Raw genomic sequence first — 27,990 nt, forward strand, 5'->3', positions numbered from 1 at the left:
TGTTGTCCAGGCTGGTCTTGAACTCCTAGGCTCAAGCGATTGGCCTGCCTCAGCCTCCCAAACTGCTGGGATTACAGGCGTGAGCTACTGTGTCTGGCCCCCATTATCTTTATCATTAGTTCACCAGCAAACAGAAGGCTTTGGAACGAGATCCAAGACTGGAATTTTTAAAATTCTAAATTGTTCTAAGCCAAATTTACATTAAAGCAAAAGCAGCACTGTTTGCTGCTTCCCGGGATCATCTGTCCCTCCAATCTCCTGGGAGTGGCTTTCTAGTATCTCCCTGGTTGTTTCTGAAGTCTTCTGTCCCAGCTTCCTGTCACCTCTCTCCATTCTACCCCTTCACTACCACCCAAGAGCAAATGAGTGTGGCTCTTTAGGTTCTTGGCCAAAGCCCTGGTCCTCCTGTGTTACCCAGAAGAGATGGAACCCACAGGCCACTGCTAAAAAGTCTCCAACGGTGTTAAATATCCTTGGAGGAGCAGGGAATTCCAGGAACAAATGCTTGGTGTCATTCCGAGGTGGGTGCACAGGCCCCCAGCAGTCTCTGCTGAGTCCCGCAGCCTGGACCAGGGCCTCTGGAAAGGCACAGTGCCTGGCTGCAGCTCACAGACCTGGCTTTAGAATGGCTCAGTTGGTGTTGCATGCTTTGGGTTGTTTGGAATTCCCTGCTCCTCCAAGGATATTTAACACCGTTGGAGACTTTTAGCAGTGGCCTGTGGGTTCCATCTCTTCTGGGTACAGGAAGCAGAAGGCCAGAGTGGTTAGGAGCACAGACTTCAGCATCAGCATACCTGGGTTAAATCCACCCTTGGCCTCTTTCCACATGATCCTGACAGGTGACTTTGTTCCCTCCTGTAGTGCCCGTGGAGGCGGGAAGCTGAGCCCGGCTCCCAGGAAGCACAGTGAGGGCTCAGCCATTGATGATGATGATGATGATGATGATGATGATGATGATGATGGTGATGATGATGATGCTGCTGCTGTTGACGATGAGTCCAAGCCAAGCCTGGGGAGAAAAGAATAAATAGTCTCATAAATTTAAAAAAGCCCAATGCTCATCAAGAAGAGAACAGATAAACTGTGTATTCACCCAATGGTGAGTTTAAAGCAGTTAAAAATGCATGACACACAGTTGCATATGTCAACATGAATAGATCTCAGACACTTAACAATGAGTGAAAAGAGCACATTATGGGAGGACACAGACAGGATAGTGCATTTATATAAAGCTTCAATGTTGCAGGCTGAAAGAGTGAGGGTCGTGATCAACTCAGTATCCTGGAGGCTACATGGGTAAACAGCAAACTGTTCTCATAAATGCAGAATGTTGGCAAACTGACAAACTGCATCTGCCGCCCAGAAGGAATGCGGAGGGCAGCCACTCCCTAAGCGCAGTTTTCTTGTGATTAGGTACATCTGAAGCCTGTTAGCAATAATGTGAACCTGTGATCAATTAAGCAGCTGACCAATCATTACCTCCTCTTCCCTGCTCTTTCTACCCAGTAAATACAAAGGGCTGTAGAAGCTCAGAGCTGCTGCTTTTGCTCAGTAGAAGCAGGGAGTCCTCTTCTTCTTCCCCCGACCCCTTCTTTTAAAACAGTTTCTTTTAAGTTTTCATTTCTGCGTTCATCCTCCTTCATTCAGTCCCGTAGTAACCGTGGCAAACCACGGCACTTCAAAACCTCATAAAAAGCACCACATATTGCTTATTTGGATACATATGTTGTAAATGTGTGAAAACATGCATGGGAATGACAAATACCAAAGTCAGGATAGTGACTGGCCATGGGGAAGGGATGGTTATTATTGTCGTCTTATATCTTCAATTCCAAATGAGCCACGGGCTTAAAAGTACTTCATTGAATAAAAAAAAACCAACAATGTATTAATGCAATCATTCTGATTGTGGTTATATATTAAGGCCAGGCACAGTGGCTCATGCCTGTAATCCCAACACTTTGGGAGGCTGAGGAGGGTGGATCACTTGAGCCCAGGAGTTTGAGACCAGCTTGGACAACATGGTGAAACCGTCTCTACAAAAAATTAAAAAATTACCCTGGCATGGTGGCATGTGCCTGTAGTCCCAGCTACTCAGGAGGCTGGGGTGGGAGGATCACCTGAGCCCAGGAGTTCGAGGCTGCAGTGAGCTGTGATTGTGCCACTGCACTCCAGCTGGGACAACAGCAAGACCCTGTCTGTAAATAAATAATATATGGCACTTATTATGTGCCAGGCACTGAGTGCTTTGTATGTGACTTGCTGAATCTTCTCAACAACTCTAGGAGTTAGGTGCCATTATTAGCCCTATTTACACATGGGGAAGCAAAACCACATAGAGACAAAGCAACTTGGCTAGGGCCCTCCAGTTAGTACGTGGCAGAGACTAGATTTAAACACAGCCGTCTGACTCCAGAGCCCTCCACTATCAGAAAAACATTATCATCCGGGTGCGGAGGCTCACATCTGTTAATCCCAGCACTTTGGGAGGCCAAGGAGGGTGGATCACTTGAGGTCAGGAGTTCGAAACCAGCCTGGCCAACATGGTGAAACCCCGTCTCTACTAAAAATAAAAAAAAATTAGCTGGGCGTGGTGGTGGACACCTGTAATCCCAGTTACTTGGGAGGCTGAGGCAGGAGAATCACTTGACCCCGGGAGGCAGAGGTTGCAGTGAACTGAGATTGTGCCATTCATTGCACTCCAGCCTGGGGAACAGAGCAAGACTCCATCTCAAAAAACAAAACATTCTCGGTATAAGCAGACAGTGGGATTCCAGTGTGAATACAGAGTGTGAGTCTGTATAGGCTGGAACAAATGACTCTTCAAGGATGATGATTTTACACAAGCAGCAAAAAAGAAGAAAAAGAGTGGAAATAAAGTGGTACAATAAAAATTGGATTTTCCTGGGCCAGTGAGTTGTACCTGCCTGGTCCCCTGTGCATTACCTGTTATAAAAGAACATTGTCACAGAGTGGATGAACACACTGAAATATTTTAGTTATTTCAGTTACTTCAATCAAATATTTCAATCAATTTCAACTGAAGCACAGTAACCTAGTCCATAAGCCAAGCCCAGTTTTCCAGACCAAGCACTAAAGAAGACATTCTAGAATGAAACTGATGAATTCCATTGCTCAAGGTTGGGAAGAAACCCAAACTACAGAGACAGTGATCTGAGTTACGCTCCTTGGAGTAAAAAGTGGCACCAGCTGTTGGCAAGAAGTTTGTAAAACCAGCTGCTGCTGGCCGGGCGTAGTGGCTCACACCTGTAATCCCAGCACTTTGGGAGGCCGAGGTGGGCGGATCGCCTGAGGTCAGGAGTTCAAGACCAGCCTGGCCAACATGGTAAAACCCCATCTCTACAAAAAAAAACATAAATTAGCTGAGCATGGTGGCTTGTGCCTGTAATCCCAGCTACTCGGGAGACTGAGGCAGGAGAATCACTTGAACCCGGGAAGCAGAGGTTGTGGTAAGCCAAGATCACACCACTGCACTCCAGCCTGGGTGACAGAGCAAGACTCTGTCTCAAACAAAAACAAAAAACAGCAGCTGTTGACCTCCAGCACCAGATGACAAGGCTGGTGGGAAGTGTCCGTGGCAGACTATGTGGAAGGACACTGTCAACACATGCGCTCCTTCTTACAACTGGGCTGAATGGTGCTGAGCAGAATTTGAGTCTCCTCCTGGAGGGAGCGCTGCCTCTTTATGAAGGGGAAGTGCTCAGATAGTGCTTGCTCTGTTTATCATTAAAATTGCTTGCTCGGATGACACCAAAAGCACAGACAAAACAAGAAAAAATAGGTAAACTGTTCTACTTCAAAATTTAAAGCTACAATCCAAGGACACAATCTGCAGGGTGAAAAAGGCAGTCTCAGAGTGGGAAAAAACTGTTTGCAAATCACATATCTGATAAGGGGCTAATATCCAGATGCAAGAACTCCTATACTCAACAACAAAAAACAATCTGACTTAAAAATGGGCAGAAGTTTGGTGGCGTGTGCCTGTAGTCCTAACTACTTGGGAGGCTCAGGTGGCAGGATGGTTTGAGTCCAGGAGTTTGAGACCAGCCAAAGCAACACAGCAAGACCCCGAATCTATTTAAAAATAAATGAAATCAAAACCAGAAAAAATGGGCAAAGGATTTGAATAGCCATTTCTCTAAATAAATTATACAAATGGCAAATAAGCACACAAAAAGATGCTCAACTGAAATGCAAGTCAAAACCACTACCTCATACCTATTAGAATGGCTACTAGAAAAACGAAAAACAGGCCGGGCACAATGGCTCATGCCTGTAATCCCACACTTTGAGAGGCCAAGGAGAGCAGATCACTTGAGCCCAGGAGTTCATGGCCAGCCTGGGCAACACAGTGAGACCTCATCTCTACAAAAAAGAAAAAGAAAAATTAGCCAGTCGTGGTGGCACATGCCTGTAACCCCAACTACTTGGGAGGCTTGCTTGAGCCCAGGAGGTCAAGGCTGCAGCGAGCCATGATTGCACCACAGCACTCCAGCCTGGGCAACAGAGTGAGACCCTGTCTCAAAAAATAAAAATGGTTGGGGCAAATTCCTACCCATTCTCTCTGAAGCACGTGTGCCCCTCCCTGTGGATATAGAATCCCTGGATCTAGGGTGTAATGGTATGGGGAATCCACCACCTTGTCTGTTTCTAAGAAAAACAACAACAAAAATAAAGGGATGGGTTAAAGTTCCTGAATTAGCCGCCCCTGGAGCTGTCCCTGTCCCAGCAGCGGCTTCCCACAAGACCAACTTTTTTTTTTTTTTTTTTTTTGAGACGGAGTCTCGCCCAGGCTGGAGTGCAGCGGTGTGATCTCGGTTCACTGCAACCTCTCCCTCCCGGGTTCAAGCGATCCTCCCTCCTTAGCCTCTGGAGTAGCTGGGACTACAGGCTAATTTTTGTATTTTTAGTAGAGATAGGGTTTCACCATGTTTGCCAGACTGGTCTCGAACTCATGACCTCAAGTCATCCGCCAGCTTCCGCCTCCCAAAGTGCTGGCATTATAGGTGTGAACCACCGCGCCCGGCCGACCAAGGACAACTTCTTGGTGTTTCACAGAAGCCAAAATGCCCAAGGAACCCCTGGCGCTCTGGCAAGGGTGGGACTCCACCCGGAGTTGCCGCCAGGGCGCCTTCTGCCCGGCCGCCTGCACTCCCCTCAACCAACGCGGAACCGACACTCGAGGCCGAAACACTGTGAGCAAGGAAAAGGCCGACACCCAACACCGGTCACGCGGCGGATCAGACGCGGCCTCGGGACTGGGCTTGGGGAGGCCGGGCTTCCGGGGCTAGTAAGCGTCTACTAGCCGGGCTGTTTAGGGATTGGTCGCCTCTGGCCCTGGAGGCGGGGGTTCCTGGAGTAAGACGGTTGCTGATTGGCTGGCTTTCCGAGGCGGGGTTGTGAAGCGTTGGTCATTCTATCTGGGTGCTGGGTTAGGCAGTACGAATACTAAAATTGGAACCAGTGACACGCAGATTGGTGAAGCGTTCCATATTTTTTCCATGTGATACCCTAAAGTAGGATGAAAGACTGTGCTGAGCAAAATAAAATGGGCTATCAGGGGAAAAAAAAAACAAAAAAACTGGTTCTGGGAGTTAGCTGTTACCAGAACAGTCTCTTCCTAGGAGAACAGGCACTTTTAATTCTCAGTGTCTATTGCATAATGGTCACCAGATGGGCTATGGAGTTGAGCCTGGGATTTGACTCCTGACTTCCCTGTGTGACCTGGAGAAGTTACTTAACCTCAATTTTCCCATCAATATAATGGGAATAATATAAATGCCTCCCGAGACTGAGGCGGGCAGATCACTTGAGGCCAGGAGTTCGAGACCAGCCTGGCCAACACGGTGAAACCCCGTCTCTACTAAAAATACAAAAACTAGCCGGTTGTGGTGCACTCCAGCCTGGGCAGCAGAGCAAGACTGTCTCAAAAAAATAATAAAGTCAAATAAAAAAGCAACTTGGAACCTGCGCTTCTGCTGCTGATCAAATACTGCACTGCTCCTTCTCTGCTCTAGGAAGCTTATGTGTCAGGCTGTCTCTCTGACCCCCTCTTGCCCGCTCCCTCCTTCTCTCAGCTGCAGCTTCTCTGGCCTTCATCAAATCTGAGTTGTTTTTCTTGCTTTAGGCCCTGTGCTGTCTTTCCACCTCCCACCCACACCCCTTATGGGCAGCATCTCCTTCTCCAAGCCTAGCGCCTCCATGATGGGGGCTGTTCCTGGCTCCTCCTTGTGCTTTTGGAGCTCTCTGTACCTTTCCTCTGTCAACTAAAAATGAAATCAGCCCTTCAGTGACTGAATGGAGTCCCCCTTGGCTAAGGAACCCCAGAAAAACCTTAAAAACAGTTCCCAGCCATGATGAGATGGGGGGGTCAGACATGCCTCATGAAGCCTCTCCGTTTTACAGTTTAGAAACAACAACCGACCAGCATTCATGTTAAAATAGAGAACATAAGACTGGCAGAGCAGACTCTTCTATGGCAATACAGTATCAAATTATAAACAGGACCTCGGGCCATGGCAGGTGAGGATTAAGTCACACACTCCACACTTGCCACAAGTTTTCTTTTTCTCTAGCAGCTAAACAAGTTCTAGATGGCCTGGAGATAAGCAATATTAAAACAATTACAATTCACCCAGCTCCCAGAGGCTGTGGGACTGACCACCTGTTCCACCAGCCATAACTACAGCTTTCATTGGACAAGAGGCTGACTTCAGCAACTTTCTCCAGATAAGAAGACTATGAACTGGCTCTGGCCAATTTACAGAGCACTTGCATGCCCTCATCTTCTGAAAAGCCCTTTCAACGAATAGGGCCTAATTGTAATATATTTAAATGCCAAGTCTCCACCCCAAAGTAAACATGGGTCGAATGGTACATGCATGTTTGTTCAATATGCATGTGTCAAACCACCTTCATGAATATGCATAGCCCCTCCTACAATCTGCTGAATATGTATGTTTAGCCAACCCGTTCAGCATAAAGCTCCTACCCCAACCCCTTCTCCTACCTGTCTCTGGTCTTGGCTGGAGGCACGCTTCCTAGCCTGTGGGATGACCACCTTGCAGGCTGTAAACTCCTCTAAAGGAGCCTCCTCTCCTTTCCCAAATTTATAAATCATGTGATTTTTTTCAAGTTAACGTATCATAGTACCAAATCACAGGTGTAATTCTGCTACTTGTGTTCACATCTGATTGATGTCTTTCCCAACACACATGGGGCCACTCACTTTAATAAGGGCATAGGAGCAGGGATCTATTAGTTGAATAAAGAAAGGGAATGAATGAATGAATGAATGAATGAAGGCACTTAATCAAGACTCAGCTGTTTGCCAGACAGGCTCCAGCCCAAGGATCAGGAGTACCTGACCTGCTAAAGAAAGTGCTCTTCATCTCAGAGCTGATGAACCTGAACGTTCCAGTCATTTCCCTGGTAAAGTGCCCAATCTACTTGAAATCTTTAAAAATTGGCATGTTTGGGCCGGGAGCGGTGGCTCACGCCTGTAATCCCAGCACTTTGGGAGGCCAAGGTGGGCGGATCACTTAAGGTCAGGAGTTAAGACCAGCCTGACCAACATGGAGAAATACCGGTGTCTCCACTGAAAACACAAAATTAGTCGGGCGTGGTGGCAGATGCCTATAATCCCAGCTACTCGGGAGGCTGCAGCAGGAGAATTGCTTGAACCTAGTAGGCAGAGGTTGCAGTGAGCCAAGATCGCACCATTGCACTCCAGCCTGGGCAACAAGAGTGAAACTCTGTCTCAAAAAAAAAAAAAATTGGTATGTTTGGTTGGGCATGGTGACTCATGCCTGTAATCTCGACACCTTGAGAGGCCGAAGCAGGAGGATCACTGGAGCCCAGAAGTTCGAGACGAGCCTGGGCAAAACAGGGAGACCCCCGTCTCTAAAAAACAAATTGTTTAAAAATTAGCCAGAGGTAGGCTGGGCGTGGTGGCTCATGCCTGTAATCCCAGCACTTTGGGAGACCGAGGTGGGCGGATCACGAGGTCAGGAGATCAAGACCATCCTGGCTAACACGGTGAAACCCTGTCTCTACTAAAAATACAAAAAATTAGGCAGGCATGGTGATGGGCGCCTGTAGTCCCAGCTACTCGGGAGGCTGAGGCAGGAGAATGGCGTGAACCCAGGAGGTGGAGCTTGCAGTGAGCCAAGATCGCACCACTGCACTCCAGCCTGGGTGACAGAGCAAGATTCCGTCTCCAAAAAAAAAAAAAAAAAGCCGGAGGTGGTGCATGCACCTGTAGTCCCTCCTACTGGGTGGAGGTGGGAGTGGGGAATCACTTGAGCCCAGGAGATCAAGGCTGCAGTGAACTGTGGTTGTGCCACTGCACTCCGGCCTGGGAGACAGAGTGAGACCCTGTCTCAAAAAACAAATAAACAAATAAAAACCAGCATGTTTGTGTCATCTTAATTGACAGATCATCATCCTGATTATCATCACCACAACCATTTGTTGCGAACTCATCAGGTGTGAGGTGCTGGGCTTTTGACATGAGCCTGTGACGTTGTGACATGCTTTGCCAACGTTTGTCATTATTTTTCTTTTTTTTTTTTCTTGAGAGAGTGTCTTGCTCTGTCGTCCAGGCTGGAGTGCAATGGCATGATCTCAGCTCACTGCAACCTCTGCCTCCTGGATTCAAACGATTCTCCTACCTCAGCCTCCCAAGTAGCTGGGACTACAGGCATGTGCCACCACGCCTGGCTAATTTTTTTTTTTTTTGTATTTTTAGTAGAGACAGGGTTTTGCCATGTTGGCCAGGCTGGTCTCGAGCTCCTGACCTCAGGTGATCCACCCGCCTCGGCCTCCCAAAGTGCTGGGATTACAGGTGTGAGCCACTGCACACAGCTGAAAGTCACTTTGAAATAACCAATCCACTTTTTGTTCTGTTTCTGCTTTGTCAGCCTTCTCCATCTGTAAAACCAGCCTCCTCTGTTCAGCAAATCGGGACACTCATTCTATTGCCCAATTCTAGAATAACAAATAAAAGCCAATTAAGGCTAGGTGCTATGGCTCACACCTGTAATCCTAGCACTTTGGGAGGCTGAGGCGGGCAGATCACCTGAGGTCAGGAGTTCGAGACCAGCCAACATGGTGAAACCTCATCTCTACTAAAAATACAAAAATTAGCTGGGTATGGTGGTGCACACCTGTAATCCCATCTACCTGGGAAGCTGAGGCAGGAGAATCACTTGAATCCAGGAGGTGGAGGTTGCAGTGAGCTGAGATCATACCACTGCACTCCAGCCTGGGCGACAGAGCAAGAGAAAGAAAGAGAGAGAGAGAGAAAGAGAAAGAGAAAGAGAGAGAGGGAAAGAGAGAGAAAGAGAAAGAGTCAATTACGCTATTTAAACTGATTGGTTGTAATTTTGTCTCTGACAGCCTTTAGACATGGATTTTTTGAAGCTGTGACAAAAGTGAGTCCCCTCGGCAGAGTGACAGAGGTGTTTGTCCTCTTCCCCTGCCTCTTTCCCCAAAGCAAAAACCCACGTGCCACGGCACCCAAACTGGGGGAGGGACCTACTTTTCCTAAGTCACACCCTGCTCTATAAGTGGGTACCAGGGGGTGGCAGCCACTGGTATTCTCAGCTGGTCTCGCCCCGCCTGGTGTGAAAAAGCCTCCATCCTATGAGCTAGCTGGAGTTGGGCCGGCAGGGCCCAAGCATTCTCAACCTGCCACACCTGGAGAAGAGCTTCCACGCTCCAGGTGGGCCTTGTGGGAAAGTCCTCTCTGCTGTACCTGCTTGCAGTAGAGATTCTGCAACACAGGGATGGGCAGGGAGGGGTGGGGTGCTGTGTAGAGAAAGGCCAGCAGCCTTCCCCTCCCAGGGCGAAATGAAGAGCCAGACTAGGAGCTGGGAGGAGAGCCCCTGTCTTTTTGACCACACCTGCCTAGAGCATAACACCCCAGGTAAAACTTCCACGACACAGAGCTGGGGGGTTAGGGGGAGAAATGGTGTTTTTCTAACACCAAATATTTGTTACTTTTCACACCAATTCTCTGATACCAGCTGGGTATCCAACATGTGAGAGTACATAAAATTTAAAAGCTGGCTGGGTGCAGTGGATCATGCCTGTAATCCCAGCACTCTGGGAGGCCAAGGCGGGCAGATCACTTGAGATCAGGAGTTTGAGACCACCCTGGGCAACACGATGAAACTCCGTCTCCACCAAAAAAAATTAAAAAATTAGCCAGGCATGGTGGTGCGTGCGTGTAGTCCCCAGCTACTCGGGAGGCTGAGGCAGGAGAATCGCTTGAACCCAGGAGGCAGAGGTTGCGAGCCGAGATGGTGCCACTGCACTCCAGCCTATGTGACAGAACGAGACACTGTCTCAAAAAAAAAAAAAAAAAAGAAAAGAAAAAGAAAAAAAATGTAAAAGCCGTTGGAACCCCAAAACCACTTTAAGCCTTGAGAGATATGCGACTGTGATGTGGGTCATGGAGCCTGTTCTGCAGATCTGCCTCTTAGACTGGAGCTTAACCCTCTTCCCCATTGTTCCCGTTCTGTAAATGATGAGGAAAGACCAGAGACCAGAACTCCCCCTCCCCATCACTGACCTTGTTGGAGATTAACTGCCTCTTTTATTGGCCTGTACCTAACTCAGACCAGATGGCGTCGTGAACAGAGACACTGTGGCATGATCATAACTCACTGCAGCCTCGAATTCCTGGGCTCAAGCAGTCCTCCCACCTCAGCCTCCTGAGTAGCTGGAACTACAGGCGGATGCCACCAGGCCTGGTTAATTTTTTTTTTTTTTAGAGATGGGGGTCTTGCTATATTGCCCAGGCTGGTCTTTAACTCCTGGCCTTAAGTGATCCTCCCACCTTGGCCTCTCAAAGTGCTGGGATTATAGGCATGAACCAGTGCACCTGGCCAAGGGCATGTTTAATGATGCCTGGCCTCCCTGCTTCCCCAGGGCCTAGGTTTCTTCCCTCCAAAGTCTCCCAGAGGTGACAGTGCCCCAGGCCACTGTCCACTGTCCTTGGCCGGTGCTGCAGTCTGCATGGCTTTGTGCACTGCCTGACTCCCCTCAGAAGACCCAGCTCCTGCAGGGTTTGTGTCTCACAGCTCCAGCAGCTCTGGGCCCATCAGCCTCAGTCTCCAAGACTACGGAAGGCAGCTGGAGAAGCGATAATGAGACAGTGCCCCCATGGCAAGTAGCGGCCTATGGTCCAAAGTAGGGAGCTTTGGGGAGAGTCTCCAAGCAAACCCCAGAAAGTGCTCTCCCTCCACCCTGCAGCGTCCCCTCCCTGCCTAGAAGTTCAGCTCGTCCCTCTTGCCACGTGGTGCTGACAAAGCCATCCTGGTGCTGATGAAGGCGAGGAGGGCAGGTCTCCAAGCTGACACCCTCTGTGGGCTCCAGGCTGCCCGAGGGGCTGTGGGCCCCATTAAGCTGGGAATTCAGAGCTACCCCCTGCAATGGGCCTGGGGAAAAGAGAATAGAAATGGGGGAGGCACGGGGAGGCCCCCGGTCAACTGGGAGCACTGTGGGAATTTTTGCCTGCCTAGGCTCCTGTGGGAGCAGCTGTTCAGGCGGGGGAGGGGGCAATGTCCAGCAGGAGCAGGGCCATCGCATTGAGCTGGAAGGGCACTGGGCCAGGCCTCCCCGCTCTCCCCACAAGGCCTGGGCAGCCAGAGCTCCCTCACTTGTAAGTGCACTCAGGCTGAGGCCTGTGCAGAAGCATGGGGGTCTCTTCCCTCTGCCAGTCACATTTGTGCCCTCCCAGGGCTGCCCTGCCTGCAGGGAACAGGCACCCTGGGAAGGGCAGACCACCACAGGCGAGGTCCAGGGCTGTCGGAAATTCCAGGCAGGCCTGCCTACCACACAAAGTGGGCGGGAGCTTCATGGGCCACCACTCACTAAGTGCCCCCAGCATCCCTGGACCGTATCCCTGCACAGGGAACTTTACAGATGCGGTCTTGTGAACTCTTTCACAGAGCAGGGTTCAGGCCATTGGCCCAAGGACCCACTGGAGGTCAGACAGAGCCCAAATGTGAGCCCACTTTTGACCAACCAATCACTTCTCTGACCTTTCTCATCACCAACAGTAAAAATGCCCCCACCTCCCTGTGTTTCTGACCCGTCACCGTGACCCCAAGCTCTCCTCATCCCCCTGCCCCTGCCCCAAGGGTCCTACAACTCACAACATCTAGTTGCTCCAAGAAACCACATTTGCTGAAGTACCACTGCCATTCCCCTTGGCTATTGTCAGAGTTTTTCAGGGTGGTGCTATAGCCATCTCTTGCTAAGTGACAAGCCCTGGGATGACAGGGATGGAAAGGACCTGCCCGCTGTCCCACGGAGTGAGTGCCTGGGCTGGTGGGGAACACAGGCAGGCACACAGGCATGGCTGGCTGAGATTGGGGCTGGGGATGGAGCTCATAGAGGCACCCAGCTGCCAGCCAGGGCCCCATCAGCTGGACGCCCCAATGCACCCATGCCAGGACACTGTCACCCCAGGCCACAGCTGCAGAACAGGCTTTGTGTGCCCAGGGTTAGTGTCGTCCATCTTCTGATCAGCACAAAGGAAAGGATGGCGATTTCCAGGGCCCTGACCCACATGAACTTTCCCCATGGCGCTTATTTCCACGTGGGAGAAAGAGGGTTGTCCCCAGAAGCCCAAAAAGTTGCCCTGGGAGCCAGGCATCCTGCCTGCCATGGCCTGGGACTCCTGGGCCTGGGGCCTCACTGATGCCATCTGCCTTGGAGTGGGACCTGGTACCGGCACCCAGCAAGAAGAGGGCAGGGTCCCTTTAAGCCCAGCCTCACTCCCTCGGCCTGTTGCTATGTACGGGACCAGCTTCCTTAGCAACCACCTGGCCTCTTCCTGGGGCCTGGAGCCCTGGTTGCCATCAGCCATGGCTCCCAAAAAGAGTGTGAGCAAGGCAGGCAAGGAGCTTGAAGTCAAGAAGAAAGGGGGCAAGAAGGAGCCGGTGGTGGCCGTGGAGCCGCCTCTGGCCAAGGAGATGAAGGAGTTCTACCACATCCAGATCCGAGACCTGGAGGACCGGCTAGCCCGGTGCGTGGGCTGGCGGGCAGGAGTCTGGTGCCCTGGGTCAGAAGCCCATGCCCAGGTGGCCCCCATGCAGGTTTGGCCATGGGGCCTTAGGCCTGTGTTCTGACCTCCCCTGGGATGTCCAGACCCCATCCCGACCCCAGCCTCATTTCCTCATACGTACCTTTGGGAGGTTTCAAGATTTTGAGGGTAAATGGATTTCCCCACCTTCCCAGCTCCTAGAACCCTGGGCCCACGATGCTAGCTCGTGGCCCCACCCCAGGCAATCCCCACGTCCCCCTGCCTCACTCCTGCCCCATGGGATCACAGGCTTTATGAAAGGGTGGAAACAGCCCTCTGGCAGGCGGGTGGACCCCCAGGCCCCACTTCCACTTCCTGGCAGTGGCACCTGTGCCCCACTGACTCACCCAGCACATGAGCCCAGTTGTTTCTCCATGCTGGGCCTCAGTTTCCCCAAATATAAGTGGGGAAGGTTGATTCCCCCTCCATGGCTGTGACATTCTATTCTAGAGCCAGTTTTGTGTGTGACATAGTGCTGGGGGGAGATCCTCTAACTCTTCATTCAGAGCCATGTTCACCTGCCCGTCATTTTCTTATGTTACAACCAGTTTCCTCCCCGTTGTGAGGCACCGCCCCAGTCTCAGGGTGACCTTAAAAGACAAACCAGTAGGCGGCAGCTCTTCCCCAGGTGACTGATGCTGTGGGTGACCACAGCTAATGCTGAGTCCCTCGTGGTGCCAGGCAGGCCATGGGCTGGTGCTCACTGAGTCCTCACAGCAGTCTTACTAGAGAGGTCCTGATGTCATCCCCATTGCACAGATGGGGAAGACTGAGGCTCAGAGAAGGGAAGTCACCCCCAGGAAGAGGAGGCACCAAGATGGGAGCCCTGGCCTCCTGACTCCCCTATGCAAGACTGCTTCCTCAGCCCCCACCCCTGAAATGCTCTGTGTGCAGTCACTATTTGAAAGATGTTGGTCAACTAAATTATGATGTAAAACAACTTTCCAGGCCAGGCACAGTGGCTCAGGACTGTAATCCCAGCACTTTGGGAGGCCAAGGTGGGCAGATCATGAGGTCAGGAGTTCGAGACCAGCCTGACCAACATGTTGAAGCCCAGTCTCTACTAAAAATACAAAAATTAGCTGGGCATGGTGGCGGGCGCCTGTAATCCCAGCTACTCAGGAGGCTGAGGCAGGAGAATCACTTGAACCTGGGAGGCAGAGGTTGCAGAGAGCCGAGATCGTGCCACTGCACTCCAACCTGGGTGACAGATCGAGACTCCATTTCAAAAATTAATTAATTAATTTAATTTAATTAAAAAAAACTTTTCAAGTAACTTCAGTTACTCCATTGAAAACCACTAAATTGGTTATGTGATACTGATTAACACACTTCCCTTGAAATTCACAAACTTCCCTTGAGCTGAGATATCAGGTAGAATATATTCAAGGCAAATGTATTTAACAGAGTTATTGGGTGCTTACTATTTGCCAAGCCCTGGGAATACAGAGGTGGAGGAGAGGGACATGTTACTAGGTTTTGACCACTCAGTGGGACAAGGGCCAACTTACAGGAGCACCAAAGAGAGGGCCACAAATGTGGCTCAGGGCCAAGAAGGGTCCACTGAGGAGAAAACACCAAGGTTACTGGATGGAAAAAGGTAAGGGAGATGCCAGGTACAAAGACTTGGGATTGGAAAGTGTGGAAGAGTTATGGAGGGATGCAGAGCTGGCCGACTGCAGCAGGCATTGTGGCTAAGAGCCTTGCTTCTGGGGATCAGACTGATTCAGGTTCAAGTCCTGGCTGTGCCACTTACAAACTCAGAGTTCCTTTATCCTTCTGAGCCTCAGTTTCCTCATCTGTCAAATAGGTATAAAATCATCATAGTACCTACATTCTTATAGGTTGTTGTAATGATTTAACAAACACACTGCACACCTGCTATCTGCCAGGCACAGGTGTTGGGGACATACTTGTAAACATAACAAGGCCCTGCCCTCATGGAGTTTACATTCTAGTGATGTAATGAAAATAACATGCTAAGCACAGGCATTGGCTGTGGTCATGACTGTCGGACCAAGGGGCATAGTGGGAGATGAGGCTGGATTCTGATCACAAGGAAACTCAAATGCCCCTTTACGGGACAGGGAGTCCAGGAGAGTGGGCCCAGCTGCACCAGAGGCCTGGCTTGCCCAGCCTGACCCCTGGACCACGGCTCTGCCCCTGCCCCAGGTACCAGCGGAAGTGGGATGAGCTGGCTGTGCAGGAGAAGATGTTCCGCCAGGAGTTTGAGCAGCTGGCCAATAACAAGAAGGAGATTGTGGCCTTCCTCAAGCGCACGCTCAACCAGCAGGTGGATGAGATCACAGACCTCAACGAGCAGCTCCAGAACTTGCAGCTAGCCAAAGAGATGGAGAAGGATGCCTTCGAGGCGCAGCTGGCCCAGGTGCGCCACGAGTTCCAGGAGACCAAGGACCAGCTCACCACGGAGAACATCATCCTTGGTGAGGAGGGGACTGGCTGGTGAGCCTGCAGGCACACATCCCAGCTCTATCACTGACCCTGTTTCTCACCTGGGAAACAGGGATAATAGCCACATGCTGCTTGGCACACACTGTCTTCCTTAATTGTCCCAGCAATCCTACGAAGCTGGAAACATCCCCCAACCAGTTTGTAGACAAGGAAGCACCTCAAAAGATGAAGTGTCGTGACCAAGGTCCCCCAGTTGGCAAGGGTTGTGAGGCTCAAATGTCAGATGGCATTAGAACCTAGCCCAGAGAATATATACAGTCCAGCTGCTGGCTGGGCGTGGTGGCCCATGCCTGTAAAACCCTGTGCTTTAGGAGGCCAAGGCGGGAGGATTGCTTGAGCCCAGGAGCTTGAGACAAGCCTAGGCAACATAGCGACACTCCATCTCTACCAAAAAAATACAAAAATTAGCCAGGTGTGGTGGTGCACATATGTAGTCCCAGCTACTTGGGAAGCTGAGGTGGGAGGATCTCTTGAGCCTGGGAGGCTGGGAGGTTGAGACTGCAGTGAGCTGTGACTGTGCCACTGCACTCCAGCCTGAGTGACAGAGGAAGACCCTGTCTCAAAAAAAAAAAAAAAAACAAAACAGTTGTTGTCATTACTGTCGCTTTCATGAGAGTATCAAGGAAGGCTTCTTGGAGGAGGTGGAACCTGAACAAAACTTCATAAGATTCATGGAGGGGTGGAGGGAGGGCAACCCAGATGAAGGCAGTAAAGGTGACAGGGCCAGGCAGGGTAGGTGGGGGATGGTAGACCTGCCCCACTGAGACCACACAGGGCGCACAGGAAGGGACAGGGACCTAAGGGGCATCTTTAAGGTCCTCGCCAGGCCCTGTCCTCTGAGGCAGCCCATCATTGGGCCTTGTGCGCTGTGGCGGCCAGGGGGGAAGCTGGCAGCCCTGGAGGAGTTCCGGCTGCAGAAAGAGGAGGTCACGGACAAGTTCACATTGCTGGAGGAGCAGGTGCGGAAGCAGGAGAATGAGTTCAGGGACTATGCATACAACCTGGAGAAGAAGTCGGTGCTGGACAAGGACAGGTGGGCAAGCGGGGCACCCTTTGGGGCCTTTGGAGGCTTCATCCCTGGGGCTACGAACATCCTAGTCTTCAGGCCTCAGCTTCTAACTGGGGGGTTAGATGGGGAAACTGACCGCCGCCCCGACAACCTGCTACTCCTTGGAATCCCAGCTGGTGATTATGGAGGGGTGGGAGAAAAGGAATAAGCTCCCAGCTGCAGTCCTCACGCTGGCATTGGAGACTCCCAGGGCTTCCTTTTGCCACTTATTGGGATTAAATCATGTTACTTAACAGGTGGGAGTACATTGAAATGGTACCAATTACAAAGGTCCAGAGGATCTACAGGGAAAGCCTCCCACCCATAGCCCCAACCCTCCCAGGGAGAGAGCATGCTGGTGTTTAACAGCCCTAGGTGCTCTGGGAACCTCACAAAGGGGTGTGCCCAGGGCTTGTGCCCGCTCTGTCTGACCCCTTCCCCTCCCACCTTTCTGGCCAGACTGAGGAAAGAGATCATCCAGCGCGTGAACCTCGTGGCCAATGAGTTCCACAAGGTGACCACGAACCGGATGTGGGAGACAACCAAGCGGGCCATCAAAGAGAACAACGGCATTACCCTGCAGATGGCCAGGGTCTCCCAGCAAGGCATGAAGCTGCTGCAGGAGAATGAGCAGCTCAAGGGAAGACAGAACAATCTGTGCAAACAGCTGGAGCTGCTGGAGAACACCCAGAAGGTCATGGCCAGGCACAAAAGAGGCCACCAGAAGGTGTGCCTGCAGGCCTCAGCACAGGGCATTTGGCATGCAAGGCAGGAGGCCGCCCTGGGGGCCCTGCAGGGGTAGAGTCAGGGGCAGTCAAGTCAGGAGGGAGGGAGGCAGCAGAGAGAGGACTGGGCCTCCTGTGGGGGCTGCAGGGTGCTGGGCCTAGCTCCGGATTGTATTTATTTAAAGCCCCCATAACTTATGGAAGCAGAGTCCAGCCCTGGAGAGCTCACTGGCCGCTCTGCATAGGGGAACACGGGAGGCCTGGCTGTGTCTGCAGCTGGGGGACAGGGCAGGCTGAGGGCATGGCCACCTGTCCGCACCCGCAGATCATCCTCATGCTGACTAAGAAGTGCCAGGAGCAGCAGCAGGACACCAAGGAGGCCGAGGAGCTGCGCCTCCTGCTGAGCCAGTTGGAGCAGAGATCCCTGCAGCTGCAGGTGGATAACCAGGCACTGAAGTGCGTATGGCCCACGGAGGGGCGGGCGGCGGGTGCAGGCTGGGGCCAAGCTCTGGCCCAGCTCTTTCCGATCCCACGACCCAGGCCAGTGACTTCCCCTCTCTAGAGGAGCCTGCCAGACAGGCTGAGGCTTGGGGCGGGATGGGGGCCCCTGTGGGCTTGGAGAGAAATGGCAGGGCCCCTGGCCCCAGGTGGCCCCAGTCCTGGGGAAGGGGGAAGGCTGTTGACTCATCCCAGTTGGGGTCCAGGAGCCAGAGAGACCAGCTGAGCCTGCAGCTGGAGCAGCAGCAGGTGGATTTGCAGCGGCTACAGCAGGAACTGGCTAATGAGCAGAAGGTTCGGGCCAGCCTGGAGGCGGCTCTGGTCCAGGCCACCTCCTTCCTACAGAACATTCTGCAGGTGAGCAGAAGGGAGAGAGGGAGGGCGCAAGGGGAGGGGGAGTGAGCGCAAGATGGAAGCTGCTTGCAGAGAAGGGGCTGCCTCAGGATCAGAGGCCCCTCTTTTCCCTGAGAGACTCCTGGAAAGTCTGTCCTTCGCTGATTCTGGCCTTCAAAGATCCCTCCAAGGTCTTAAAGGAGCTGGATTCCTTCTCTGAGGCTCTGAAAGGTCTTGGGCCTCAGTCTTCCCGACTGAAGAATGGGTATCCCACCACAGACAGGGAAAACTTCGTGGAAATGGGCACTGAGGTTGGAATTTCCTGGACGAGGGTGGGTACTGGGGCCACTGTGGGCCTGCTGCCACCCCACCCTCACCAACAGATGCACCGCGATGAAGAGGACAGTGACGTTGACGTGACGTTCCAGCCATGGCACAAGGAGATGCTGCAGCAACTGCTGGTCATGCTCAGCTCCACTGTGGCCACGAGACCTCAGAAGGCTGCGTGTCCCCACCAGGAGTCACAGTCCCATGGCCCACCCAAGGAGAGGTAAGCAAGTGGCCCTGTGTGGCCTCAGAGGCAGCCACAGAGAGCAGGGCAAAGGCATTCAGCCATGGGGACAGTGCTCGGCTCACCCTGGGCCAGAAACCTGGCTCGCCGAAGGCTCTGTGACCCTCGGCCCCCTCCCCACAGCCGGCCCAGCATCCAGCTGCCCAGGACTGGGTCTCTGCTGCCGCAGCTCTCTGACATCACCCCCTACCAGCCGGGGGATCTAGGCCTGGTACCTCGCCAGGTCCACATCCCACCCAACCCCCAGGACCTCAGGCTGCTGTCATATATCACCCGTGTGGGGACCTTCCGGGCACACAGCAGCCCTGAGGTGAGGGTGCCAGGGGCCCCAGGGAAAGCAAGGTGGCAGCTAGTCCTGGGTACAAACTGAGGCTCTGCCAGGCCACAGCTGTGTGGCCCTGGGGATGTAACCAGATCTCTCTGAGCCTTCCCATCTGTAAAATGGGCTGAAGAAAGGAGTGGCCAAGCCTCAATGGGCCAAAGCATGCCCACACATGCCCTGGGAGGGGGGTTGGCTGGACCCTGTTCTTCCCTCCCCCACCAGCAGGGAAAGAGTGGGATCCCCCTGAAGAGGCCTCAGCTTCCAAGCCAGCATCTTTCTTTTTTTTTTTTTTTTTTTTTTTTTTTTGAGACAGAGTCTCACTCTGTCACCCAGACTGGAGTGCAGTGCCACAATCTCAGCTCACAGCAACCTCCGCCTCCCAGGTTCAAGTGATTCTCCTGCCTCAGTCTCCCAAGTAGCAGGGATTACAGGCATGCACCACCATGCCTGGCTACTTTTTGTATTTTTAGTAGAGACAGGGTTTCACCATGTTGGCCAGGCTGGTCTCGAACTCCTGACGTCAAGCAATCCCCCAGCCTCGGCCTCCCAAAGTGCTGGGATTATAGGTGTGAGCCACTGCACCCGGCCTCCAAGCCAGCATCTTTAATCTTACAGATGCGTGCCCCTGGTTCTCTAAAAAGGCTTGAAAAGTTTAGTCTTCCTGAAGTTCCCCTACGTCCCAAGTAGGACACAGAGAGAAGAACCTACTCCAGAAATGGACTGGTCCAGTCACAGTCACCCCCACTTTAATCCGCAGGCAGCCTGGAACAGTCTAGAGGAGATTTGTATAAAAAGTAGATACCAAGGCTGGCGTGGCAGCTCTGTGGCAGTGGCTGGGTTGGTGGGCACTACAGTCAGGCAGGCAGCCATGGCCACTAGTGTCACGGCCCCAGTGAGGGCCCCTGGCTTCGCTCACGGATGTGGTCCAAGATCAGGTCGGTGGCTCGATCCAGCAACAGAGGCAGCAGCTCCTGCTCAGCAGGGGAGAAGCAGCCCAGCACATGGGCCTGAACCGCCTCAGGGTGCGCCGGGCGCCCGATACCCACCCGCAGCCTTGGCATTGCCTGTGGGAGAGCCAGAGAGGCCCAGGAAGCTTTGGCGAGGTGCTGGGGGACCCCTGGCCCACCCGACCCAGTTGCACAACAAAAGGGTAGACTCACATTGGAGTTGAGGCAGCTAATGCAGGAACGGACTCCATTGTGGCCCCTTCAAGGGATATGGGAGGGGCAGTTAGTGCCTCCCTGGGGCAGTGTCCTTCCACCCCTCCCTGCCCCGGCTGGGTCAGAGCAGCCCATTTCCTGTGGAGACTGGGTCAGCAGCCCTACTCCACCCCAACTGGGAGGCCTGAAGCCCTATCCCAACCCTGACCATCTCAGGACCTCACCTGGCACTGCCCCCCAGCTTCAGAGCCAGTCTCCCCAGGGGCTTGTCCAGCTCATCATGCACCAGGTAGACTTCCTCGGCAGTCAGCCCAAACAGCTCCGCTTAGCACAGGGAAACGGCAGCCCTGGTTACTGCCCATCTGCCCAGAGAGGCACTGTCCCGACTCCCATGATGAGGGACCACAACTAATCCCACTTCACATATAAAGAAACTGAGGCCCCCCGAAGTACCCAAAGCCATGCAGCAACTGGAGCTCAACAGGTACTTGGAGGTGAACCCGCGGATCTGTCACAGCCAGTGCTCCCCTCTGGCCCCCGCGCCCCAACCCCCACCCCCTTGGCCCGCCCGCCCACCCCTGGCGCTCTCAACTCACCAGCCCGGGCCACGCTGCGCCCGTTGGCGTTCATAAGCCGCCGTGGCCGGAGCAGGACCAGTTGGGCATCCCCCAGCGGGGCCAGGGCGAGGTCGGCGGCACAGTGCCGGTCGCGCGTCCAACTCTCCGCCACACCCAGCCGCCGCGCCAGCTGCCCCAGCACCGCCATGCCCACGCTGTGTCGCGTGCCGGGCAGTCCGGGATTCCCCAGGCCAGCCACCTGCGGGCGGCACCAGGGAAACTGAGGCCCAACAACTCTCGCCACCCCCGATCTCACAGCGTCCCGTGGGCCCCAACGCAGAGGAGCGGAAACGCAGAGCAACGCTGCAGTGGGGAAGGGGCGCGAAGAAGGGGCCCAGAAACCCGACCCCTGAGAACTCCAGAAGGCTGGGCAGGCAGGGCGCCCTAGTGCAGGAACGGAGCTTCAAGAAGTTTGGAGCCCGTCGAGCACTGAACTCACCAGTTAAGAAAACAGAGCAGCAATTTGGGGGCACTCGGCTCCCGGGACATAATGGCCGAACTGAAGCTAGGGACCGGGAGCCCCTACGTCGCCGCCCCACGCCACTCACCATCCACCGCTTCCCCGGGGGGCGAGGCTCCAAAACACATCGGCTCATGGCTCTACTCAGCCGCTGTCCGGCGCCCAAAAAGCCGCCCGGCCTCATGCTGCCCCCATTCACTCCGACACCGCCCCCTGACGTCATCACCCCGCAGCAGCCAATCGTGTTGCCAACTGTTTGGCGTCCACCGCCAACGTCCAATCCGGGCCGGGCTACGTGGCCGCCATGCTTCTGAGGGGCGGAAGCGGCGAGGCGGTGGCCGAGTCCGGGAACCCAGGCGCCTTCAGTAGCGCGGCGTCACAGTGTCCCTTCGGGACTTGTGTGGGACGCTCGGAGCTCTTGCTTGACCTTCGGTTGGGAGGCCTTGTTATGCCCCCCGCTATGGCCCTGACTTGCGGCGAAAATCTGGCAAGTCCTTTCCCCGCTGTAGGCCTCAACCTCTCCAGCTAATAAAAGTTTTCTACCTCCCTCCGGCTCAAAAAGCTTGGTTCCCGGGGGCGTGGCCAGAGGGGTGGGGCCTGTGGGCGTCCTGGTGATGGTGCCTAGCAACGTCAGGGCCAGGGCCGCGAGGTAGTTGGCAGAGGCCTCGGGGTCCTCCTGGAAGGGGCCTCATGACAGATTCGGACGAGGTGCGGGCTTGGGAGAAGACTAACGCAAAGGCAGAGGGCCAGGCAGAGAGACCGAGGCTGGGTTCGCAGGAAAGGGTGAAGGCCGGGAGAGGCAGGGGCAGCAGTCCGACTCAGGGAAGGCCCTGGCCGCCATGCCAAGAACCAGGCATGTGAAAGATCCTTGTAAGGCTCGGCGGCTGCTTGGACAGAGGTCTCTGGCTTGGGTAGCTGGTGGGGAAGGTGACCTCACCAAAATGGGAGAACCTGGGGCAGAAGTCAGGTGAGGTGCTCAGTGTGGCCTGCTGGAGTGAGGGTCCTGAAGGTTACCCAAGGGACTGTAGGACCCCCAAGGCCTGAGACTTGGGACCAGGCCTGAGCTGGAGACATCAAAGCTTGGGGTGTCAGTAGCCGGAAGTGGGAGCTGGGAAGGCCCTGGGGGAGAACAGACGGTGTTGTAAGCATGAGGACCCTGATCCCTGACCTTGACCACAGGAGAGGGAGAAGGGCAGGACTGCAGAGGGACAGGTTGGAGCGTCCCTAAGGGGAATGGGGCTGGGAGCGCCACCGGAACCCCGAGTGGGAGTGCCTCCTTCCAGGCCTCATTTCCGCCTCTCCTCCCTCCCTGCAGAATGCTGGGGAGTGTGTCAGTGGGTGGGGGTCGTCTCGGGGGCCTGCTCCAGCTTGCTGTCCTTCGGTTCTAGGATGCCCTGAAGGTTGACCAGGGCCCCTCACGGGACATCCCAAAGCCATGGGTGATTCCAGCCCCCAAAGGGATCCTGCAGCACATCTTTGGGACCAGCCACGTGTTCCAAAGCATCTGTGATGTAAAACCAAAGGTCACAGGGTTAACAGTGCCCCTCAAAGTCAGGGAATAGTGAGTGACTACCTTGCTTTGGGGTCCCAGGTTCCTGCCCGACACAGCCATTCACATGCTGTGCAGCTTTGAGCCACTTACTCTCTTCAGGCCTCAGTGAACTCAACTGTCTAATGGGGCTCTTCCACCTCAGTGGGAACGAGGCTGATGGCCTGGCTGGACTCCAGGAACACCAGCCTGCCCTCCCTGGGCTTCTGTCTACTCCTCCTGCCTCTCCACCCAGCTCCCTTGCTTCCCACAACCCCCACCCCAGCCCTATGCCCTGGGCTGGTCCACAGTCAGGGCCACCCCTCTGCCTGTCCCCACTTTCCCCACAGCTACTCCAGAGGCCAGCAGTGCTTGGAGCAGGCAGACTGGGAGACAGCTGTGCTGCTCTTCTCCCGCGCACTCCACCTGGACCCACAGCTGGTGAGAGGCAGACCTGGGTGGGCACAGGCAGTTGCTGGAACATGCTTCCTCCCTCCCTGTCGCACCTGCCAGATCCCTCCTCTCAGGGCCACCAAGTCCCTGATGGGAATTGGATGTCAACTCTCAGGGGGGTGGAGACTTTCCCCTACCCTCCAGGGGCAGATGGTGGGGAGGATCTAGCAGCCTGGGTCCCCTCACCCTCAGGTGGACTTCTATGCCTTACGGGCTGAGGCCTACCTCCAGCTCTGTGACTTCTCCTCGGCCGCCCAGAACCTGCGAAGGGCCTACTCATTACAGCAGGACAACTGCAAGCACCTGGAGCGCCTCACCTTTGTGCTCTACCTACAGGTGCCTGGGGCCTCCCGGGCCCATGCAGGGCACCCACCTCACACTTCTCAGGGGCTCTCCTGGCTCCTGGGCCCAGCTCTGTCTCCTTAGATTCCTCCTTGTCCCTGTGTCTGGGTCCCCCCCGCTGCCCCTCTCACCTCCAAGGCTGGTTTACTGCCAGGGTTGAGTCAAGTTTGGCAGCATTTTCCATTTGGGCTTTCTGCCATAATGACAGTGTCCAATATGCTAGCCACCAGCCACGTGGAACTGTTGAGCCCTTGAAATGTGGCAAGTGTGACTAAAGAACTGAATTTTATATCTTATTTTTATTTTATTTTATTATTATTATTATTTTTGAGACAGTCTTGCTCTGTCACCCAGGCTGCAGTGCAGTGGCACGATCTCGGCTCACTGCAACCTCTGTCTCTTGGATTCAAGCAATTCTCCTGCCTCAGCCTCCTGAGTAGCTGGGACTACAGGCACACGCCACCACGCCTGGCTAATTTTTTGTATTTTAGTAGAGACAGGGTTTTACTTTGTTGCCCAGGCTGGTCTTGAACTCCTGGGCTCAGGCAATCCACCCACCTCGGCCTCCCAACGTGCTAGGATTACAGATGTGAGCCACTGCGCCCGGCCTCTTATTTTTATTTTAATTAATTTAAATGTGTATAGCCACACAAAGCTAGTGGCTATTGTCTTGGACAGAACGGCACAGATCTAGAGTCCAGAGGCTCTAAGCACTAAAAAGGTCACAGTGACCCCTAAGTGTATTTCAAAGGAAAAACAATATTAAACTATAAAACACCAACGAAGTGTTGCTTTTTTCCATTTTGATAACCTTGATGTCTTTTTTTTTTTTCTGAGATGGAGTCTTGCTCTGTCACCGAGGCTGGAGCGCAATGGCGCAATCTCAGCTCACAACCTCCACCTCCCGGGTTCAAATGATTCTTGTGCCTCAGCCTCCCAAGTAGCTAGGATTACAGATGTGCATCAACATGCCTGGCTAATTTTTGTACTTTTAATAGAGATGGGTTTTTGCCATGTTGGCCAGGCCGGTCTCCAACTCCTGACCTCAAGTAATCCTCCCGCCTCGGCCTCCCAAAGTGCTGGGATTACAGGTGTGAGCTACTGCGCCTGGGCTTGATGTCTTTTCTTTATGTCAAAAAATATTCAGTTCTTGGCCGGGCACGGTGGCTCACGCCTGTAATCCCAGCACTTTGGGAGGCCGAGTTGGGCGGATCATGAGGTCAGGAGTTTGAGACCAGCCTGGCCAACATGGTGAAACCTCATCTCTACTAAAAATACAAAAACTAGCTAGGCATGGTGGCACGTGCCTGTAATCCCAGCTACTTGGGAGGCTGAGGCAGGAGAACCTCTTGAAACCAGAAAGCAGAGGTTGCAGTGAGCCAAGATCGTGCCACTGTACTCCAGCCTGGGTGACAGAACAAGATGCTGTCTCAAAAAAAAAAAAAAATTCTGTTCTTAAAAAGAAACATTTGGGGCCCTCAGACCATGTGTGAATCTGTCTGTTGGGGGCCCATGTCCTGCACTGCCACTTCCTGTGTACCCTTGTGCAAGTCACTTCACCTCTCTGAGCCTCAGTTCCTTTATCCATAAGAGAAGCATGCTAGTGCCAGTGAGAAAACAAGTTCAAGTTCTTAGCACAGGGCTCAGCACCCAGGGCCCAGGTCCAGGCTACAGCCTGTTTGTGTTAGTTCTGCTGATCTCTTCTGCCATCTGAGTGTTTTGTTTTGTTTTTGAGATGGAGTCTCACTCTGTCACCCAGGCTGGAGGGCTGTGGCACGATCTCGGCTCACTGTAACCTCTGCCTCCCAGGTCCAAGCCATTCTCTTGCCTCAGCCTCCTGAGTAGCTGGGATTACAGGCATGCACTAACACACCTAGCTGATTTTTGTATTTTTAGTAGAGATGGGGTTTCACCATGTTGGCCAGGCTGGCCTCAAACTCCTGGCCTCAAGTGATCCACCTGCCTGGGCCTCCCAAAGTGCTGGAATGGGATAACAGGTGTGAGCAACCATGTCTGGCTCAGCTATCTGAGTTTTCTACATTTCTCTTTGTTCCTGAATCTCTGTATTCCTGTCTCTTGCCAAGCGTGCATCTCTTACTGTCTCTTGCTGTCTTTCCCCAGATCTGTATCTCTCTCCATCTCTGTCTGTGTCTCTGCCTCTTCAAGTCTCTGCCAGATCTAAAAGGCTCTGTCCTTGTCTTTGTATCTCTCCCTCCTGCCTCAGGGCTTTCTGCTGCCAACTGGGGGGTGCAGCTGGGCTGGGGTGGCAAGCAGAATTGACTGTCCCCTGTGTCCCCAGGGACAATGCCTTTTTGAGCAGTGTGCCTTCCTGGATGCCCTGAATGTCTTCTCACATGCTGCTGAGCTCCAGCCTGAGAAACCATGCTTCCGTTACCGATGGTGAGTGCCCCTGCCAGCCCCTTCTCCCAGCACCCACTTCCTGCCGCCCCACCCGGGAAACGAGCACTCTGTGCCCTCTGCCCTCAGCATGGCCTGTCTCCTGGCCCTCAAGCAGCATCAGGCCTGCCTCACGCTCATCACCAACGAGCTGAAGCAGGACACCACCAACGCCGATGTCTACATCTTCCGGGCCAGACTCTACAACTTTCTCCAGAAGGTACAGTGGGGAGGGCGGGCAGGGGCATGCCCCCCAACCTGGGAGTCCTCAGTGTGCCCCAAGATTGCAGGAAGAGGCAAGGCTGTCAGCCAGCCCAGAAGCCCCATCCCACAGTGCAGTGGGTGCTGTCCTCCCTGGGAAGAGGCCCACACTGGCCTGGACCACTCAACTACCATGTCAGGTCCTTGTTCCACTGTTGCTCAGCCCTGGCTCTGTGCTAGGCCTGTGCTGCACCCCATGGGAAGCAAAAGATGAGAGAAGCATGTCATCCCTGTCCGGATGGAGCTCACACCCTGGGGGAGGTGTCCCTGGGCAGATGAGCACACTAGGAGGGCTTTAGCCACAATCCTCTGAAGCCACACACCAGGGCACCCAGGGCACCTAACATGAGGTAGCCCTTCCCCCTTCCTCCCTCCTTCTTTCTTCCCTCCTGCCTTCCCTCCTCCCTTCCTCCCTCCTCCCCTTCCCCCTTTCTCCCTCCCCCTTCCCCTTCCTCCCTCCTCCTTCCTCCCTCCTCCCTCCTCCCTTCCTCCCTTCCCCCTTCCTCCTTTCCTCCTCTTCTTCTTTCTCCTCTTCCTCCCTCTTCCTTTCTTTTTTCCTGTTTGCCTCAATGAATCATCCCTACTCCTGACCACCCACACAACCTGGGCTGGGCACAGGGACAGACAGTACAGGGAACAGCTTGGGAGCAATAGAAACTTGGGGTCACAAGGAAGGAGGTGGAGGGGGTGCTGGGCACCAAGGAGAGGAGGGCAGGGATGAGAAGTCTCCCTGGAGTCAGTGGGAGCCTCCACCAGGTGTCCCCAGGGCAGGGGGCTTTAGGAAGATCATTCTGGTGTCCGCAGGGAGTGTGGGTCAGCGGGGAGGGCTGGAGGCCAGAGCCTGAGAAGGAGGCTGGGCACCATTGCAGGGTGGGGTGAGGTGGAGGGAAAGGTAGTCATGAGGGCGGCAAGGAGGGGCAATTCCCACAGCCCTTCAGAAGGCAGGGCCGGAGTCTGGCTTGGGGGTGGGCTTGAAGGAAAAGGAAGGATCCAGAAGGGTGCCTGGTGTTCTGGCTTGGCCTGGGTGGATGGGGAGCTGGGAAGCTAGGATGGGGAGGAGCAGGTGGGCGGGGTGGGGCGGGTTCACCTCATTCTCCAAGCATCCTGGGTGCGGCCGAAATGCCAGCCTGCATTGCAGGAGGGAGCGCCACCACCCTGGCAGGAGTGACTTCGGGGAGTGCAGTCCACCCTGGCAACTCCTCCCTGTGCCCCGGGGCTGGGCTGCAGCCTCCCACAAGCGATTCAGTGGCATGAGACTAGTAATTTGTTTTGTTTTGTTTTGTTTGAGACAGAGTCTCACTCTGTCACCTAGGCTGGAGTGCAGTGGCGAGATCTCGGCTCACCACAACCTCTACCGGGAGGTTCAGGCAATTCTCATGCCTCAGCCTCCTGAGTAGCTGGGATTACAGGCGCCTGCCCAGCTAATTTTTGTATTTTTAGGAGAGACAAGGTTTCGCCAGGTGATACCCCCTGCCTCGGCCTCTCCAAGTGCTGGGATTATAGGTGTGTGCCACTGCGCCCGGCTGAGACTAGTAATTATTGATAATTATTGGTGACTGTTGTGATTTTAGCCCCTCCGATACGTAGGCGTGTTCTCAGCACTTTGCCCCTGCTTAGCTGTGAGGCTCGCAGCAACCCTTTGGGATAGAGACACACTGTCCTCGTTTCACAGAGGAAGAGCCAGCC

General features: G+C 53.8%; 4 protein-coding genes across 33 annotated transcripts in view, besides 7 other annotated features; 3 read left to right on the forward strand and 1 right to left on the reverse strand.

Moving 5' to 3' along the window:
* Window positions 1-1,897, forward strand: part of STXBP1 (syntaxin binding protein 1) — an 84,118-nt gene extending 82,221 nt beyond the window's left edge. The window contains exon 19 of the mRNA NM_001374314.1: window positions 862-1,897. Within this exon, the coding sequence (NP_001361243.1) occupies window positions 862-884 (23 nt within the window). The 3' untranslated portion in view covers window positions 885-1,897. The remainder of the gene's footprint in view (window positions 1-861) is intronic.
* On the reverse strand, window positions 18-21,544 carry PTRH1 (peptidyl-tRNA hydrolase 1 homolog). 7 transcript variants are annotated; one of them, XM_047422774.1, is made up of 5 exons: window positions 21,412-21,544; window positions 20,843-21,062; window positions 20,471-20,570; window positions 20,247-20,292; window positions 18-1,009 (listed from the first exon to the last, which is right to left on the reverse strand). In XM_047422774.1, the coding sequence occupies exons 1-5, from the start codon at window positions 21,505-21,507 to the stop codon at window positions 914-916; spliced, it is 558 nt and encodes a 185-aa protein (XP_047278730.1). In that variant the 5' UTR covers window positions 21,508-21,544; the 3' UTR covers window positions 18-913. The 7 variants fall into 7 exon arrangements, with proteins under 7 accessions (XP_047278730.1, XP_047278731.1, NP_001332906.1 ...); NM_001345977.1 differs by lacking the exon at window positions 18-1,009 and adding an exon at window positions 19,531-20,057; NM_001002913.3 differs by lacking the exon at window positions 18-1,009 and adding an exon at window positions 19,675-20,150 and having other exon boundaries at window positions 21,412-21,531.
* Window positions 6,695-7,203: an enhancer, noted in NCBI's record as "OCT4 hESC enhancer chr9:130463106-130463614 (GRCh37/hg19 assembly coordinates)". NCBI's record gives its function as "activates a minimal SCP1, AML or CMV promoter by ChIP-STARR-seq in naive H9 embryonic stem cells {active_cell/tissue: H9 hESC(naive)}" and the evidence as "EXISTENCE:reporter gene assay evidence [ECO:0000049][PMID:30033119]".
* Window positions 12,856-21,870, forward strand: CFAP157 (cilia and flagella associated protein 157). 6 transcript variants are annotated; one of them, NR_145961.2, is made up of 9 exons: window positions 12,856-13,060; window positions 15,290-15,561; window positions 16,469-16,622; window positions 17,097-17,364; window positions 17,688-17,818; window positions 18,067-18,217; window positions 18,473-18,743; window positions 18,888-19,074; window positions 19,702-21,870. NR_145961.2 is itself a non-coding variant. In NM_001012502.3 (9 exons), exons 1-9 carry the CDS (start codon window positions 12,900-12,902, stop codon window positions 19,771-19,773), a joined length of 1,563 nt encoding a protein of 520 aa, NP_001012520.2. In that variant the 5' UTR covers window positions 12,856-12,899; the 3' UTR covers window positions 19,774-21,870. The 6 variants fall into 6 exon arrangements, 4 of the variants coding, with proteins under 4 accessions (NP_001012520.2, XP_011516861.3, XP_006717127.3 ...); NM_001012502.3 differs by having other exon boundaries at window positions 18,577-18,743; XM_011518559.3 differs by lacking the exon at window positions 18,888-19,074 and having other exon boundaries at window positions 18,577-18,743; window positions 21,122-21,870.
* Window positions 20,276-20,932: an enhancer, noted in NCBI's record as "H3K27ac-H3K4me1 hESC enhancer chr9:130476687-130477343 (GRCh37/hg19 assembly coordinates)". NCBI's record gives its function as "activates a minimal SCP1, AML or CMV promoter by ChIP-STARR-seq in naive H9 embryonic stem cells {active_cell/tissue: H9 hESC(naive)}" and the evidence as "EXISTENCE:reporter gene assay evidence [ECO:0000049][PMID:30033119]".
* Window positions 21,172-21,231: an enhancer, noted in NCBI's record as "active region_29045". NCBI's record gives its function as "activates an Ori minimal core promoter by ATAC-STARR-seq in GM12878 lymphoblastoid cells {active_cell/tissue: GM12878}" and the evidence as "EXISTENCE:reporter gene assay evidence [ECO:0000049][PMID:35858748]".
* Window positions 21,302-21,681: an enhancer, noted in NCBI's record as "active region_29046". NCBI's record gives its function as "activates an Ori minimal core promoter by ATAC-STARR-seq in GM12878 lymphoblastoid cells {active_cell/tissue: GM12878}" and the evidence as "EXISTENCE:reporter gene assay evidence [ECO:0000049][PMID:35858748]".
* Window positions 21,732-21,791: an enhancer, noted in NCBI's record as "active region_29047". NCBI's record gives its function as "activates an Ori minimal core promoter by ATAC-STARR-seq in GM12878 lymphoblastoid cells {active_cell/tissue: GM12878}" and the evidence as "EXISTENCE:reporter gene assay evidence [ECO:0000049][PMID:35858748]".
* Window positions 21,829-22,005: a silencer, noted in NCBI's record as "fragment chr9:130478240-130478416 (GRCh37/hg19 assembly coordinates)". NCBI's record gives its function as "represses an EF-1alpha promoter that drives an FKBP-Casp9 reporter gene in an ReSE screen in HepG2 liver carcinoma cells {active_cell/tissue: HepG2}" and the evidence as "EXISTENCE:reporter gene assay evidence [ECO:0000049][PMID:32094911]".
* Window positions 21,947-27,990, forward strand: part of TTC16 (tetratricopeptide repeat domain 16) — a 15,512-nt gene continuing 9,468 nt past the window's right edge. For 11 of the 19 annotated variants that reach the window (NM_144965.3, XM_011518283.3, XM_011518285.3 and 8 more), the window contains exons 1-6: window positions 21,947-22,031; window positions 22,712-22,884; window positions 23,202-23,292; window positions 23,497-23,640; window positions 25,946-26,046; window positions 26,134-26,263. In NM_144965.3, the coding sequence (NP_659402.1) occupies window positions 22,014-22,031; window positions 22,712-22,884; window positions 23,202-23,292; window positions 23,497-23,640; window positions 25,946-26,046; window positions 26,134-26,263 (657 nt within the window). In that variant the 5' untranslated portion in view covers window positions 21,947-22,013. The other 8 variants (XM_011518292.3, XM_047422836.1, XM_011518290.3 and 5 more) reach the window with 5 other exon arrangements.
* Window positions 24,051-24,253: a silencer, noted in NCBI's record as "fragment chr9:130480462-130480664 (GRCh37/hg19 assembly coordinates)". NCBI's record gives its function as "represses an EF-1alpha promoter that drives an FKBP-Casp9 reporter gene in an ReSE screen in HepG2 liver carcinoma cells {active_cell/tissue: HepG2}" and the evidence as "EXISTENCE:reporter gene assay evidence [ECO:0000049][PMID:32094911]".

The sequence above is a fragment of the Homo sapiens genome, chromosome 9 (genome assembly GCF_000001405.40).
Source record: "Homo sapiens chromosome 9, GRCh38.p14 Primary Assembly".
Lineage (NCBI taxonomy): Eukaryota > Metazoa > Chordata > Mammalia > Primates > Hominidae > Homo > Homo sapiens.